The sequence below is a fragment of the Homo sapiens genome, chromosome 1 (assembly GCF_000001405.40).
Source record: "Homo sapiens chromosome 1, GRCh38.p14 Primary Assembly".
Taxonomy (NCBI): Eukaryota; Metazoa; Chordata; class Mammalia; order Primates; family Hominidae; genus Homo; species Homo sapiens.
Genome location: NC_000001.11, coordinates 236,761,625 through 236,779,327, shown reverse-complemented (window position 1 = coordinate 236,779,327; position 17,703 = coordinate 236,761,625). Strand labels below are relative to the sequence as shown.

Sequence of the window (17,703 nt, the reverse complement as noted above, 5' to 3'; positions counted from 1 at the left end):
AAATTCCTATAATGTATATGTTGGCACACTTGATGGTGTCTGATGTGGTTAGGCTTTGTGTCCCCACCCAAATCTCATCTCGAACTGTAATCCCCAGGTGTTGCAGGAGGAACCTAGTGGGAGGTGATTGGATTATGGGGGCAGTTTCCTCCATGCTGTTCTCATGATAGTGAGTGAGTTCTCATGAGATCTGATGGTTTTATAAGTGTTTGGCAAGTTCCTCCTTCGCTCACTCTTCTCTCTCCTGCCATCTTATGAAGAAGGTGACTGCTTCCTCTTCCACCATGATTGTAAGTTTCCCAAGGCCTCCCCAGCCATGAAGAATGGTGAGTCAATTAAACCTCTTTTCTTTATAAATTACCCAGTCTTGGGCAATTCTTTATAGCAGTGTGAGAACAAACTGGTGTCCAACAGTTCTCTCAGACGTGGTTCAATTTTTTTTTTTTAAACCATGTTCTCCTCTGACAGGATAATATCAAATTTCTTAAGTTCCAGTTTGTCGATCCTTTCTTCTGCCTGCTCAAATCTGTTGAGTCCTTGTAGTAATTTTTAAATATCAGTTATTATAACTTTCAGCTCCAGAATTTCTGGTTGGTTCATTTTTATAATTTCTATCTCTTTATTGGTATTCTCATTTTATTGCTATTTTCATTGTCCATACATCACTTTTCTGATCTTTAGTTCTTTGCCCATGGTTTCCATTAGCTCATTGAACATATTTAAGACCATTGATTTAACATCTTGGACCAATAATTCCAATGTCTAGACTTCTTCAGGGATGTCTTCTGTCAAATTCTTTATTTCCTATGAATGGGTCATACTTTCTTGGTTCTTATATGTTTTGTCTTTTTTTTTTTTTTTTTTGAAATTGAGAACTGGACATTCTGAGTATTGTGTTGTAGTGACTCTGGAAATATAATTCTCCCACTCCTCAGAGATTGCAAGGTTTTCTTTGTTAAGGACTAGAGCCATCCTTTTGTGACCCTTTCAAATTATTGTTGCAAATTGAATATTCCTTGTTGTATGTGGTAACTGCAGTTTCTCTTCATTGTCTCGTCAGTCAACTAGTGACCTTACAAACATTTCCTTAAGTGTCTGGTTCTCAAAATAGGCAAAATAGATTATGCCTCTTGAAACTCCTCTTCAGTTCCTGTAGGTTGAAACAATGGATGACCTCTGTGCTGGCCCTTTAGCAATCAGCAATCAAAACACACAGCCCTGATTTTTGGAGGGCAAGGTTCTTATTGCCCACCTGGCTCCAGCAAGCCACACCAAGAATGCTTGCTGCCATCCCTTCAGGTGCCTGTTGCAGGTTTAGGGGATAGGAGATGGTAGTGGCTACTGCTGGAAAGCTAAAATTTTCTGAAATTTACCAGTCTCTTTATCCAGCACTCTCTCCTGGGTGCTGCATGTGTTCTACTAGAACCAGAATTCCAAAATACAGTTGATCTTTAATCAACATGGGAGTCAGGGGCACTGACCTCCCATGCAGTTGAAAATCTACATGTAACTTTTGACTCCCCCAAACTTAACCACTGATAGTCTACTGTTGACCAGAAGCCTTACTGATAAAAAAGCATCCAATTAACACATATAATACATATGTATTCTTACAATAAAGTAAGTTAGAGAAAAGAAAATGTTATTAAGGAAATCATAAGGAAGAGAAAATATATTTCCTATTCATTAAATGAAACTGGATCATCATAATGGTCTTCATACTTGTCATCTTCACGTTGAATAGGTTGAGGAGGAGGAGAAAGAGGAGGGGCCGATCTTACTTCCTCAGGAGTGGCAAAAGTGGAAGAAAATCCCTGAATAAGTGGATCTACGGTTCAAATTTGTGTTGTTAAAGGGTCAACTGTAGTTGTTTCAGATAGCCTCTGCCAGTTGACTTGTTGCTTTGGTGGAGGGACAGATGCCTGGACTTCCATTCCAACATCTCCCGACATGTGTGTTGTATTTTGGCATTTAATATGAAAGAAGAGAAATATGAACCTAGAATAATTTGTATTCTTTTGTGGATTATCTTTTTTTCTCTTTCTCACTTTTTCTGCCTGGTTAATTGTAGATTTTTTCCTTCTTTACCTTTATACATTTTAAAGGCAGCATGTATCTGGGTGTTTATTTTAATTCATTTTTTCTAGTTCATTGCATGTCCTTTTGCCTTGCATACTTAAATCTTTTATTCAGTTCAAGCAAGTCTTATTTCATAATATCTTCAATTACTGCTTCTGTTCCATCTATACTCTTACTTCCTCTAAAATAATTATTTTGGGTTTTTAAAAATTTAGGTTAGCTCTCTGTTTCTTATTTCTATTTTTTGCAAAACAATTTTTGTCTTTTAAAAAGCCATTTCCGGCGGGGCGCGGTGGCTCACGCCTGTAATCCCAGCACTTTGGGAGGCCGAGGCGGGCGGATCACGAGGTCAGGAGATCGAGACCATCCCGGCTAAAACGGTGAAACCCCGTCTCTACTAAAAATACAAAAAATTAGCCGGGCGTGGTGGCGGGCGCCTGTAGTCCCAGCTACTCGGGAGGCTGAGGCAGGAGAATGGCGTGAACCCGGGAGGCGGAGCTTGCAGTGAGCCGAGATCCCGCCACTGCACTCCAGCCTGGGCGGCAGAGCGAGACTCCGTCTCAAAAAAAAAAAAAAAAAAAAAAGCCATTTCCAAATGCATATTTTAGTTCTGCTGTTGCAACATTAGTTTCCTTTCATACCTATCCTTTTTTTATGTCAGCGCTTTAAAAAAACCTTTCATCTTAATTATTTTCAACTCTTTATGATTCTTCCAAATGGCTTTCTGGCTCCTCTTCCATGTATTTTCGTAGTCTAGGATTACTTTTTCTGTGGTTCCTATATTATTTTATTTCATTGAGTTTAAGACCCTTTGGTTTGTGCTTTAAAAAAAAAATCTTACTAACGGGGCACGGTGCCTCACGCCTGTAATTCCAGCACTTTGGGAGGCCGAGGTGGATGGATCATGAGGTCAGGAGATCAAGACCAGCCTGGTCAGCATGGTGAAATCCCTTCTCTACTAAAAATACAAAAAAATTAGCCAGCCATGGTGGCACGCGCCTGTAGTCCCAGCTACTTGGGAGGCTGAGGCAGGAGAATCGCTTGAACCAGGGAGTCGGAGGTTGCAGTGAGCCGAGATTGTGCCACTGCACTCCAGCCTGGCAATAGAGCGAGACTCCGTCTCAAACAAAACAGAACAAAACAAAACTTACTGAAAGTTATCAACAGAAGATTTCACATAACTGTGTCATGACTGACACCTGCCTAACAGCAATTTAAGACAGCATCAATTATAAGATGCATTCAGATTACAGAGATAGTAAAAATGGAAAAACCAAACAAATTAAAATTGGATCATAGAATAGAAACAGTGTGCCTAATTTTCAGAGTGGATATCTTTCTCTGAATTAATCAAGATTGTATTATCATTCTCTTTTACTGCCATTTCTTTCATAAGCTTTATTTTGTTTATTCTTTTAAAATTTATTAGTGAGGGACACCATAGCATCAAAAGATCTTCCCTTTTGGAAATGGGCTCATGTGGGTTCAAATTAGAGCTCCGCTTCTTACTGTGTGACTAGAGTAGTTTGGGTATAGGCTAGGCTGTTATGCAAAGAAACCCCAAAATATTGGGGTTTAGGTAAATCAGGAATTTTTTTTCTCATATAAGAGTCCAAAGGTGAGCAGTCCACTACTGATGGAACAAGTCTGCCATCCTCAATATCATAAGAATGTTTATATTGACTTCCGTAATACTGCTGGCCATCCAAGTATAAACGCTACCTCAAATACTTTTTAAAGTATTTATAGTAGAAATATAAATACTTAACAACAAAATTAAGCATATGTTTTAATAAAAGATACATCGTTATCTATTGGGTAGCACAATCTATTAGGAGTTAGTTGAGATCAGCAGACAGAAAAATACATAACAGCATTACATGATGAGTATCACCATGTGATTTATTTTGGGGTAAATCTACATGCTTAAGAAATAAGTAATGTAATTATTATACTTTTCTGTAATATAAAGAATCTTTAGCACACTCTGGCTGTCCCTCTGGGTCCCAAAGTACCCTTCAAGACAGGATGACTTTTTGAGTTCTCATTTACCAGCCATGCTAGCAACTATATGCAGGATGCTTGAGAGGAGATTGAGGTTGAGAATCCAGTAGGTGGTGCTCTCAACAATTGGTACAGAGTGACCTCAACAGGATTCCATTTGGGAGTCATACGGCTCAGTCTTCACTGTCCACGTCTCCTAATTCTTGACCCTCAGCAAGCAATAGTAGGCCCCAGTGAAAATGAGAAAGGTGTGCTCAGAAATTTTTGAATCCAAACTTAATATCAAAGTTCAGGGTGTCTTCTTTTTGTTTAATTCCGTTTCGCTATACGACTAAGGTATTCAGGAAAAGGCATGCTGAATGAAAAATATTGTTCATTTCACAAGTATAGGTTTCAGACAGGTTTATCAGAGTGCAGATAGGTATGGGGCACAAAAATTCTAACTGTGAAATGAAAAGGCTAACAAATAGCCTTTTTGTGTGTCAAGTGTGGGTGATAAGAAGAGAATTTAAGCCGGGCGCAGTGGCTCGCGCCTGTAATCCTAGCACTTTAGGAGGCCGAAGCGAGCGGATTGCCTGAGCTCAAGAGTTTGAGACCAGCCTGGGCAACAAGGTGAAACCCTGTCTCTACTAAAATACAAAAAATTAGCTGGGTGTGGCGGCGTGCTCCTGTAGTCCCAGCTACTCGGGAGGCTGAGGTAGGAGAATTGCTTGAACCGGGGAGGCGGAGGTTGCAGTGAGCCAAGATTACACCACTGCACCCCAGCCTGGGTGACAGAGCGAGACACCGTCTCCATTAAAAAAAAAAAAAAAGAGAGAGAATTTAAGCAGTTAAGAGACAGATCCAGTATTAGTTAATATCAACTTTCAAAAGGAGTCTATGTCAATCCAGTTCACTTTAGTCAAAGAAGATAAGACTAGTTGCGGACACTAAATTTCCAATTAGGATTGGAAGAATAAGCCAAAGTATCTTCTCTGTTCACCGTAGGCCAGGCCCTTATCTCAAATTTGGAATATTTCAGCAGCCTCCTCACTGAGTATGTCACTTTGTTGTCAGCAGATCTTTGGATAATTGTTATCACTATGCATGAAAGAATTCTGTGTTAAAACAGCCTTAGCACTCTATGGGGGTGGAAGGTGGGTGCTGTTGGTGTTTCTCTGCCTCTTTCCTGGTCACTTCATCTGCCCACTGCTCACTGTCTAACCAGCCCTCCTATAACACTTCTCATCAGGCACCTCCTTTATTCGCCAGTCAGCCCTCCTCCTTTCTGGCCACAATCTACTTTGAGGAAGTTGGCAGTGAGCTCAGAAGCATATATCCGTCTGCTCCACCAATGAGCTGACGTAGAGACAACTCATGCCCAGGAGCCGTGGTCTTTGGGAAGTTACTGGGGGCCTAAGCCTTGGAACAAAAAAAAAGGCAAACAAGCTTTGGCTAGTGGTGGGCATTGGCATGAGGCAGGTGCAAGCACCAACTGAGGCCATGTGTCCTTTGCCAAAGAAAACATACGTAGAGTAAGTTTAGATGTTATCATTCATTCAACAATGATTTATTGAGTACCTGCTGATGTAAGCGTTGTGATAAGCAGTGAGGATTCATGGATATGTAAAGCATGATCCCTGTCCTTAAAGAACTTGCCATCTATCAGGGGTATGGGCCAAAGGAAACCTTCCCTTTTGCACACTGAATGTTAGCTGAAAACTGAAAAAAAGATTAATAGGAGAAAAGACCTTTTAAATTTTACTTTAATGTGCATTGCACAGGGGAATCACAGAATTATTACCCAGTAATCCAGTGGGCACTCCAGATGCTTCTTCTTAGGGGAAGGAAGGGGAGATAAGGGAAATGTGGCGATTTGGGGGATTGTAAGTGATTTTTAGGGGGAAATGAATGGGCCAGGAAAACATAGAATGGCCTGGGACAAAGTCTATTGGACCCTCAGAGCAGACAATGGCTGGTAAATTATTCTCTTGGAAATGGGACCAAAGTAGAAGGCTATGATTTGTGACAAAAGTCTGTCCAGGTGTGTTGACAGAGTTCAGTCTTTCTTCCTGTGATATAAGTAGATGAAAACTGAGGGAAGGAACTAGATGTCATTGTTTTCTTCTTTGGCAGGTCCAGACCTCAGGCAGATAAGGGAACTGCAGGAAACAGCCTCTTTCAGCATCTGCTGGTGTCTAAGGGCCTTTCATTTAAAATAATCAGCGTACCTACCAGGGTTCCATATTCTGGGTATCAGTTTCTGAGGCCCAACACAGGGATAAAAAACTTCCAGGCCGGGTGTGGTGGCTCACGCCTGTAATCCCAGCACTTTGGGAGGCCGAGGCGGGCGGATCACTTGAGGTCAGAAGTTCGAGACCAGCCTGGCCAACATGGTGAAACCCCATCTCCACTAAAAATACAAAAATTAGCCCAGTATGGTGGTGGGTGCCTGTAATCCCAGCTACTTGGGAGGCTGAAGTGGGAGAATCTCTTGAACTGGGGAGGCGGAGGTTGCAGTGAGGAGAGATTGCACCACTGCACTCCAGCCGGGGCGACACAGTGAGATGAGACTCTGTCCCAAAAAAAAGAACTTCCAATTTAGTAATCTTGTTGGACACTAGACTGTTAAGGGAAAACTAGTGGGTTGGTGGGCTGCATTGTCTGAAAGACTTGGTTCATCTCTGATGCCCAGGCAGTTAAGTAACCTGTTTTACTGTTAACTCTTATAATAACTCTCATAATAGTATTGAATGTGTACATGTGTCAGGACATAAATAGAATGTAAATTTAATGTTTAAATTTAAATCCAGAGAACCGAAGGGCTTTCATACATCTGAAATAAACAAATAGTCTGCTTTTTATGTGTTTATTACTTAAATGAATATTCCAACAGTCTAGGAATTCATTTGGTTTTGAAAATTTTATTTATATAGTATTTCCATTTAATATTTTTTCCCGCAGTGGTCATTTTTTCTACCTATTTTTTTCTATGCCATTAAGTATGGAACATTTCATGCATAAAACAGAGTTGGGTGATTTAGACACCTGACCCTATGGGAAAAAAATGTGGATTTTTGATATGTTGGAGGATGGCTCCCACAGTCTACACTTGGGAAGGAAGTGGATGTGTTCTGTGTTTGGTTTTAGAATAAGAGTCAGAATCACTTACATTTAAAATTTATCTTGGGATAATGGATAAGAACAGTCTTAGCTGGGCGTGGTGGCTCACACATGTAATCTCAGCACTTTGAGACTCTGAGGTGGGAGGATCTCTTGAGCCCAGGAGGTCAAGGCTGCAGTGAGCAGTGTTCACAGCACTGTACTCCAGCCTGGGTGACAGAGCGAGAACTTGTCTCAAAAAAAAAATAATTAAAAAAAAAAAAAGAGTAGTCTTAGATATCAGAGATGTGCTTTCTTGTCCTGACTTTGTTGCCAACTAGCTGCATGACCAGCACTTACCCATGATTGTCTCAGTTTTCTAACGAATAAGGATAATAATATTTAGCTCAAGGGGACTGCTGTGAGGAGCAATTGTGATAATGTGTGTCTCTTGTCCTTTCTGAGCCTCAGTTTATCAAATGAAGGAATTTGGATGAGACTATCTCTGGGACATAATTTCCTGAAATCTTGATAATACCTTTAGATAGGTATTTCCCCAAATGCGGTTCACAGAAGGATTTTAGATACGTAGAAGATAATTTAATTATTAGTTATGGCAGACATGTGCTCAGGGTGTGTGCGCAAGGACTGGAGTTGGATTTGCTTGGCCTCACACAAACCCCGGCTGCCTGTGTACCATGTCCCACAGCTTTGCAGAATTACCCAAAAGAAGGAGGACAATGAACAATTTTAGGATAACCATTTGGGGGCTGTCAGATTTAGGAAAAGGCAATAAAGGTTGAATTGCATAGCAACTACTTGGAGCCCACACAGCTCCCCACTGGGATTCAGACACGAGACTCACTCAGCATATGAGCTTCCATGGGAATGCTGAAGTAGACCCCTTAACGGGAGGAGAGAGCTGTGTTCTGGGACCGCTGTGTACACCTCCTGCTCCCACTGTGACACCCACCGCAGTGCAAGGAAGGAACAGACAGTAGCCTTAACTCTTGTGGTCAGTTTCTCAGGCTCAGGGGCTGTTCCTTGGCAGGCTAAAGCTGTACAGTCTGAGACCAGGAATATTCTGCAGCAGCGAAGGCACTGCAGCAAACAATGGGGAAAGGACACCACACAGGTAGGAGATACCTATGTATTTATTTTTATTATAGTTACCTTCTATTTATGGAAAAGTAACTTTGCTTTCCCACTTACAATAATGATACATTTTCTTTTCTTCTTTTCTTGAGACAGAATCTTGCTCTGTTGCCTAGGCTGGAATGCAGTGGCACCATCTTGGCCGGGCTGTTCTCGAACTCCTGGCCTCAAGTGATCCACCTGCCTTGACCTCCCAAAGTGCTGGGATTACAGGCATGAGCCACTGCACCCAGGCAGATTTTCTGTTTTTGATATACGAAGTTAACTTAAAATAAAAATATTAAGAATACTGGGTAAAACATTGTGGTAGTGTACCAGAATGATTGGAGTTTGGGAAACACTGACACATTGTTTGATTGGATTGAATATCACTTGGCAAGTCTATTGAAGAGGAAAGGATCTTCAGGCAAATTCTGGAGATGGGAAAACAGGCAAAAACAACAAACAGGGCAGTAGTCTAGTCTATGGAACACAAAGCCAAGGAGGAGGAATGCAGGAGAAAATGAATCTGTGACCACAGAAAGAAGCAGAAAGTGAGAGGTCAAAGGGAAAATCAAAGGCAGCTTTTTCACACTGTGAAGAACCAAGTAGCTCAGTAACCTGGGGCAGCAAGCCTTGAGGCTGCCCAGATACTGACATCCAGCAAGAGGAGGGCTGATTGAGCTAGGGGACCCAGGGGGAAGAGAGTCTAGGCGTTATCTGAGAATGACAGAACAGGCAAGAAAACAATGAAGCTGTGAAATGTGAAGCCATTTTTGTGTGTGTGTAATTGAAAACAAAAAAAGGTACTATTGTTAAGCCTAGGAAAATTTGTTTATGAAACATGAGAAAATCCTCATTAGAACAGCCCTGAAACCCCTAACATACTCCATACTCTAAAGTGGCATTCTCTCTAATGCTCCCTTTAGTAGAAAGGAATTGACACATGTTCTTCTATCTCCACCAAGCTATGAAAACAGGTCTCAGCCTTTGTTCACACACTTTTACTTTTCCAGCCTGAGGTCCACACACATAGCCACAGTGCAGGGTGCCTCCAAGGGCATTTTCCATGGAGGATAAGGATAATTTGATTCACCAGGGCTCTGCAATCACAATTCCTTAGGCTAACATGCAAGCAAGAGTACCAGGCTGAAGTTCGTTTGTCATGACATGCCAGTATAACCAGCATCTCAGACACACTGGGTTCCTGGGGATCAAAAAAGAAAAATGACAAGATGTGAGGCAGTGCTGGCCAGGACCCTCCCCGTCGATGTTATCTGTAAATCTCATGAGAAAGCATTGCAGGACGGGCACAGTGGCTCACGCCTGTAATCCCGGCACTTTGGGAGGCCAAGGCAGGCGGATCGCCTGAGATCAGGAGTTCGAGACCAGCCTGGCCAACATGGTGAAACCCCGTATCTACTAAAAATACAAAAATTAGCCAGGTGTGGTGGTGGGCACCTGTAATCCAGCTACTTGGGAGGCTGAGGCAGGAGAATCGCTTGAACCTGGGAGACGGAGGTTGCAATGAGCTGAGATCACACCACTGCACTCCAGCCTGGGCGACAGAGCAAGACTCCTCAAAAAAAAAAAAAAGAAAGAAAGAAAGAAAGAAAGCATTGCAATGGAAGGTGCAAGTGGGGGATAAGACATTTGGCATACTTGGTCTTTAAGACCCATACCACGTGTTGTCTCTTTCATTAAACAAAAAATGTTCATAAACTATATTAAAGAGAACAAAAGGGTGTAGGTGGGGAAAGGGAAAGAATCTTGACCCCAGAGACATAGATACTCTTCAACAGCAAAACTGCTCACTTTGCTTTGATGGGAGTCAGATGGGTACTGAAGGAAAACTGTCTAGAAGAGAGGAATAAAGCATGTGAAGAGAAAACAAAGAGTGTCTTAAAATTGTGTTTAAACGTTCTGCAGTGCATGTAAAAATGAGTGAATGAATGAGTTGAATTTAGTACAAAATGTCATTATCTTCCATGATGAAAATGCACATAAATATCCATTGAGAGGGAAAAAAATGTGAAAATGTTAATAAAATCTAAAATATCATCAGTGTAGCTAGACAAGCTATGCTAAGTACACAACCAGGTCAGGAAGCTGTTGAGGTTAATTCTGTATTACTTAGGGTACAGCTGAGCTACTGTAACAGAGACCCTGAGTAGAGTGGCTTAAAGAACATACAAGTTGGTTTCTCTTTCCACATGGCAGTGTTGGGGTGAGCCAGCAGGGGCCAGCTATTCCTCACAGTCCAATAGGAACTGTGTTTCTTCTAAGCTGTAGTGGTGCCATCTCCTCAGACCTACCAAGTGACCACTAATTACACCTGCTGTTTTTCTCTGAAGTACTCCTTGTTTAATCCAATATAATCAGGAAGAGTTGGGGGAAATTGTTCATTTCAATACATCTTTGCTGATACTTTAAAAAATAATAAAATGCTTTTATATTATCATGTGGCTTAATTATATTTTCATCAAAACTTTGGAGCTGCAGATTTAGAAAACTGAAAAAATGGAAGACATCCCCCATGTAGCCTAATTACCAGTCTGTCTAAACAATTAGCTAGATTAGCCTGTCAGTTAAAAAAAAAAAAAAAAAAAAAAAACTGACTTCATTTTATGATTAAAATAAGCTGCTAACACATTTTGAGGAATAGTATTAAAACCACTGAAAAATAAATAATGCAACAACTTTTATAAAAGCAGTTAAGTCCAGATTAAAATGATGTTGTGCTAATATAATTAAACTTTTCACTATGTAAGTCTGTCTTTCTCATTTATTTATGAAATATATGTAGCTAATCCCAGCACTTTGGGAGGCCGAGGCAGGCAGATCATTTGAGGTCAGGAATTCAAGACCAGCCTGGCCAACACGATGAAACCCCATCTCTACTGAGAATAGAAAAATTAGCCATGTGGGGTGGTGCGTGCCTGTAATCCCACCTCCTTGGGAGACTGAGGCATGAGAATCGCTTGAACCCAGGAGACAGAGGTTGCATTGAGACGAGATTGCACCGCACTCCAACCTGGGCAACAGAGAGAGACTCCACTTAAAAAAAAAGGAAATATATGTAGCTACAATTTTAAGTTATTCATGAAGAAAGGAGGATGCTAAAAAGAGTGGTATTCTTTTGGAAAACATGCATGCGTATGTGTAAAAATCTTGTATCAAATTCAGAAATAATTCCATTATACCATTAGTTTTGTTGGACATACTAATAAAAAGTCTTTCCAGTGTATTTAAGGAAAGAGTGTAGACTGCTACAAATTAATTGGCCTGGTATGTAGTAAAAGTTTTATTTTTGGCTAATATGAATTAGAAGATACCACTTTAAGAGATGAAATAAAATCAAGATTGTAATTGGAATATTTTATGTGCTTTGATAAATATGTTTTGAGAACTTTCTTGTATAAGACACGCCAAATCTAAAATAAATCATGTAAAAAATTCCCGCAGGTTTTTTGTTTTTTGAGACAAGCTTTCACTCCGTCACCCAGGCAGGCTGGAGTGCAGTGGCATGGTCACGGTTCACTGCCACCTTGACCTCCCTGGGCTCAAGCAATCCTCCCACCCCCACCTCCCGAGTAGCTGGGAGTATGGGCATATGCTACCATGCCCAGCTAATCTTTTTGCATTTTTGTACAGATGAAGTTTCACCATGTTGCCCAGGCTGGTCTCGAACTCCTGAACCCAAGCAATCCACCCAACTCAGCCTCCCAAAGTGCTGGGATTACAGGTGTAAGCCACCGTACCTGGCCACTGCAGGTTTTATCTATAAAAACCTGAACACTATTGTGGTCTCAGAAGCACACTAGCCTATGCTGTTTGGTTGTCCAATGGTGATCGTCTAATTGAATAGCTAAAAAGAACTGCCTATGTTTAAATACATTTTTAAAAAGCCATTTTGATGGTTAATATCTCTTGTTGATGCTCTGGGATTTTCTGTTACTAATCTCCCTCATGAGCAATTCATGCTTGTGACAATAACTGAGGGATAGAAAAGGTAAAGTAAGCAAAACCTGGTATCACAGCCACCCCAATCCTTTATAATACATATATCTGATTTCAGAACCATAATACCATTTCGTTGTTTATACTAAGTATGCATATAATCTCCTTTTTCTCCCGTCTACAACTATTTACAGAATCTTTCTCCTCTGGTAGCTTGTCTTGCAAAGACTGTTAAATAAAGGTTAGCCTAAATCTGCCTCCTGACATATTTTAAGTTCAGCCTAAAGGTTTTTCCATACACAGTGAACTGTAACCTCACTGGATGTGTAAACAGATTGTAACCTACTTTTGTACCGATCACCAAGTTTTGGTGAATGAAAGGCAGCCAACTGTTCAAATTGTTTACATAAGGCAAACACCAAGCTGTAACCAATCCAGCAGTTTCTGCGCCTCACTTTCCCCCCTCAGTCCCCAAGTCCTCTCATGCAGCAGCACCAGAGCTGCTCTGTACCTGTTCTGATTCAGGGGCTGCCCAAGTCACAAATTGTTCTTTGTTCAACTCAACTCTGTTAAATTTGTCTGAAGTTTTTCTTTTAACAAGACCATGACAATTGGTTTTCTTATATCTTATATATCTTATATCTTATATTGGCTTTTTAATATCTGCCACTGTGGTTTCTTGGAAGTTCCCAGCCATGCAAAAGGATTTGCGAGTATGCCTTGGTGTACTCCCAGACATTCCATCCATTTTACAACAAGGAGGTCTGCACTGCTGGGGAGGTAACTCCTAAAAGACTTAAATCCCAGAGGGAATTCATGGCCAGGGGTCACTGACAAATCGCAACTCCTAGCACCTTAAAAAGAATAACGGTCTGTCAGTTGCTTAAGGATTGAGTTATTAATTAATGAATCTAAAAAGGAAAAACGACGCTGTCTTCTCTGCTGACTCCATCTGAAATATGAAAATGTCTCAGAGCAGTATAATTATTGTGTAGGCTCCAGGGAACCCGAAAGAGCTCAAGGACACAGTGGGAACTCAGTGTCTTCTTGTCAAATAATCCAGGGAAGCTGTGGGTGAATCTTTGTCAGCCTGGTAACAACTAGCAACTTCTGAAAATACATGTTTCTGACTCCGTATCACTTAGATTTGTTTCCTTTCATATGAAGCCTGTAAAGAGCTCATTTCCAGCTTATTTCCATGAACATAGATGAATCTGGTATACAGCAGGAATGAATACCAAGCCAAATGCTCTAATTTAAAACTCAGTTATGTCAAGCATTTCTGTATTACCAACCAGATGGCACAAGGGTTTGCCTGGCCATTTGTATTGCTCAACTATTAACCTTGCCAGTAAGGTCTTCTCTAATCATTTTATTAGACTTTTTTTCTTTTTTTTTTTTTTTGAGATGGAGTCTTGCTCTGTTGCCCAGGCTGGAGTGCAATGGCACTATCTCAGCTCACTGCAAACTCCACCTCCCAGGTTCAAACGATTCTCCTGCCTCAGCCTCCCGAGTAGCTGGGACTACAGACGCACACCATCAAATCCGGCTAATTTTTGAATTTTCAGTAGAGACGGGGTTTCACCATGTTGGCCAGGATGGTCTCGATCTCTTGACCTCATGATCTGCCTGCCTTGGCCTCCCAACATGCTGGGATTACAGGCGTGAGCCACCACGCTTGGCCGTTTTAGACTCTTGATTCTTAATGACCTTTCCTTTGCCTCTAATCCACGGGTTCTCATGGGGGGTTATTAGAAATTCCATGGAGTTTTAAAAAACTGCAGATGTCCAAGTCTTACCTAGACCTTCACAGCTTGAGACTCTGGGATTAGGGCTGAGTATGCATACATTTTAGAAAATATTTACTGAGGATTCTGAAGTGATCTCTTGGTTAAAAATTCCTTCCTAATCTATTCATCACTGATTTTTTTTTTTTTTTTTTTTTTTTTGAGATGGAGTTTCACTCTTGTTGCCCAGGCTGGTAGTGCAATGGCTCCATCTCGGCTCACTGCAATCTCCACCTCTTGGGTTCAAGTGATTCTCCTGCCTTAGCTGCTGAGTAGCTGGGATTACAGGCATGCAACCAAACCCGGCTAATTTTTGTATTTTTAGTAGACATGGGTTTTTGCCATGTTGGCCAGGCTGGTCTTGAACTCCTGATCTCAAGTGATCCGCCCACCTTGGCCTCTCAAAGTACTGGGATTACAGGTGTGTGCCACCATGCCCCGGGCCATCCATCATTCACTTCTAAATGGTTCATTGTTAATTCTCCATCTTATGTTCACCCTCTACCCAGTAAGCCTGTCTCTAATTCTTTAAGGGAGGCAAATACTAACCCAATGACTGTTTTTAATTCTCATGGAACCTTTAAGTGAGGAAGTTTGTTTGTAGTTAACCAAAGTAATGGTTATTTTTTGAAATAACAAAAATAGGGATTCTTTTTTCTTTTATAAATTAAGTTTAATTTAGAAACTTATAAACGTTTTAATTTTTGAGCATCCAGCTTCAGAAATAAAAATAATACCTAAAATGAGAGTATAAACATGTTTATTATTTTTCAGAGTTTACTTCCTTTCTTCATTTATTAGCAGATAGAGACTACTGACCCCCTCTCTTGCTGAATGTTGTAAAGAAATTAAAAGTTTAGGTAGATGAGTTACCCACACCCATCCTAAAACACCACAGAGCCCCCTAATAGCCTCAAAGGAAGCACAACTTTCTGGCTTTTCTATAGGGGTTTATGGCCGGGATATAGCACCTACTTGAAATAAAATAGAGTCAGAGTTCATCTAAACCACCCCAAAAGTGTTTGGCATTAAACTCAAGGATTCAAATATTTCAGGAATCTGGAAACTACCAATTACTTAATAATGAAGCAAATTAAGTGAAATTCATAAAGGTTGAAGGTTCTAAATGGCCCAGTGTAGGAAGAAGAGTCAAGCTGTCAGACAGCTTGGAATGGAAATATTACATTTCCAGCTGTTGGTGGAAATCTATAAAAATCTGAGCAAACAGACTGTAGGTAACAGACATGTTACTGCTTCTCTAGTAATGCTTTAATTGCTGTTTGCAACTGTTTTTGTTTGTTTGTAATCCATTTCCTGATCATTAAGGACTCAGATATAAAAAGAATTCCTGCTTTATTCTCTACAAGCTGTCAACAAGATGGAAAAACAGGGGGGAATTATAGCCTACAGCAGTATGAGCAAAAAGAAAGAATGAACATTCAACAGATCAAGATGTGCTAGCAGGAGTGCATGTAGCATCCTGTGTCATGGAGCAGGCCTTTAGACACAGAACCAGACATGGGACTTGTTAGGATACACTGTCCAATCCCAGGGGTGAACACACACCGCACACTAGCTAAAATATCTAGTTATTCCTACTACACAAAACATATGTAAAGCTTCCGCAAAAGAAAGAACTCACCTCCACTGCTGCTGAGAATTAGTCCTCTCCTACTCTAACTCTGGCTTCTCCTTAACCGGTCATAAAACTAGAGGCATAAGGAAGTCCTGACTGGAGAGCTAGAAGGATACTGGTTTCTGACTTGCCTTGTGATGAACCAGTCAGTACTACAGAAACCTGCTTATTTATAAACAGAGCACTTTTATGTGGTCATCTCTTGAGAACCTGTACTAATAAGCTCTAACAAAAAGCATGGGAACCTGGAATCAATAAATAATCCTAAAAACCTCATTTTACCTAGTGATTGCATCCTTCTCTCTGGCAATTAAACTGACTTCCACGTGTCCTTAGGTCTCTATTCTGGAGGATAAGAGAAGCATCAAAAAATCACTGACTGAGTTGACCATCCAGCCCTAAATAATGAAGAGATGACATAAACTATTTTAAAAATTGTAAGTGCCAAAAATCTTTTGGGTAGTCTTTTTAATCCCCGGCAGTTCCATCTCACAATATTAAATTCATTTGAAGATACAATAGTAATCTTTGGATAAGCATGAAAATAAAACATTAGAATCCCAAATATACTCCCCTAGGGGCAATCACATAAGCATATTAGAGATAAATGAAATTTTTTACAAATAGCAAACCTTTATTTACCAATTTGTGGTTTTTTCCCCCCGGTCTTAAATCTTGGGTATTTTGTATTTTCACATTTTTCACTTTCCTTCTGTCCCTAGATCCTCCTAATTTCCTATTACTCAAGTAATTTGTTCTGTTTAATCAAAGAAATCAACCTGATATTTCATTACATTTTGCTAAAAACTCAGAAATAAACCTATTTATGAAGCGCACTATGTCATATACTGTAAAAACTTCATTTTAGCCGTGTTATATTGCTGGCAATTACTGAACTACGAAAGGCTTTTTTTTTTCCCCTCTCTCTCTCTCAACTTAATAAAGCTTGTCAAAGTTTCCAGGAAACAAACTGTGACTTCCGCTTTTATTGCATTCTGATGGGATGAGTGATTACAGAAGCTCAGCATCACAGATCGCTCTCCCCGTAGAGTGCGGAAGAGAACGCAGCGTAATCCAGTGCACCAGGCACACTGCCTGGGCCCGAGTAGGCGGGCATCCTCTTGATGCAGTACTGGGCCTGATCCGGGGGCAGCTCCCGACGCAGCTCCTCCGCCAGGATGTATGGCTGGGAAAAAATACACACGTGTTTGCAGTCAGTTGCAGAAACACCACAACATAAACAGTCTTAATACTTACATATTTCTTGCATCTGTTTAATTTTTTAAAAGGACTAAAGAATAGGGAGTCTATTGGCATAGTAGTACCAGACAACCAACAGAAAGCCAAGTTTTACTTGTAGGAGCGTATCTAGAAGCGGCCTGGCCAGCAGGAAGGGTGATATGCTTCATAAAGGCAAATGGAGCATTACTAGTAGTTCTCAAACTGAGCCACAATGCGAGGATACGTACTATGATCTGCATTTCATACCAGAAAAGATGAAGCTTTTAAAAAAAAAGTTCAGTGGGAAATAGGACAATTCCAGCCAAATAGTCTGGTTGGTAAAAGTCAAAATAAGTAAATCTCAAATATCACATTATAATTTATATCATTATAGTTTGCATATTATATAATTTATAGTAGAAGTTTCTTAGTGGGGTTGGAGGAGCCATGGTTTCTTACCTTCTAAATCAGCTGGGCTATTTCCCATCCACCCTCACCCCATGGGTAAATGATTCATTTTAAAGAAAACATTATTTTAAAAATAGTTGGTCTTATCTGATTTTTAAGGTAATAAATATGGCTCTGTTACTGTGTTTTAGCATGCTAACCTCCTTGTGGTAATGTTCATTATCCTCTCAGCCAGAAAACAGGGTAAAATAATCCTGTCCCAAATTGAATTTATACATAGAGATGTTTTTATTGTTTGGGGGGTAAAATATTACAATTCTGAACTGGCAATTAAACTCCTCCTGAAGGTCTAGGCTACATGTAATGAAAAGCTTGCCAATTTTTTACTGACTG

At 40.5% G+C, this 17,703-nt stretch overlaps 1 protein-coding gene across 3 annotated transcripts in view; it reads right to left on the bottom strand.

Annotated features, from left to right (window-relative positions):
- The window catches only part of ACTN2 (actinin alpha 2), a 78,133-nt gene continuing 75,126 nt past the window's right edge, over positions 14,697-17,703 (bottom strand). For all 3 annotated transcript variants that reach the window (NR_184402.1, NM_001278343.2, NM_001103.4), the window contains one exon: positions 14,697-16,867. Coding sequence is in view for 2 of the 3 variants with exons in the window: in NM_001278343.2 (NP_001265272.1) it covers positions 16,709-16,867 (159 nt within the window). In the remaining variant the exon portion in view is untranslated. The remainder of the gene's footprint in view (positions 16,868-17,703) is intronic.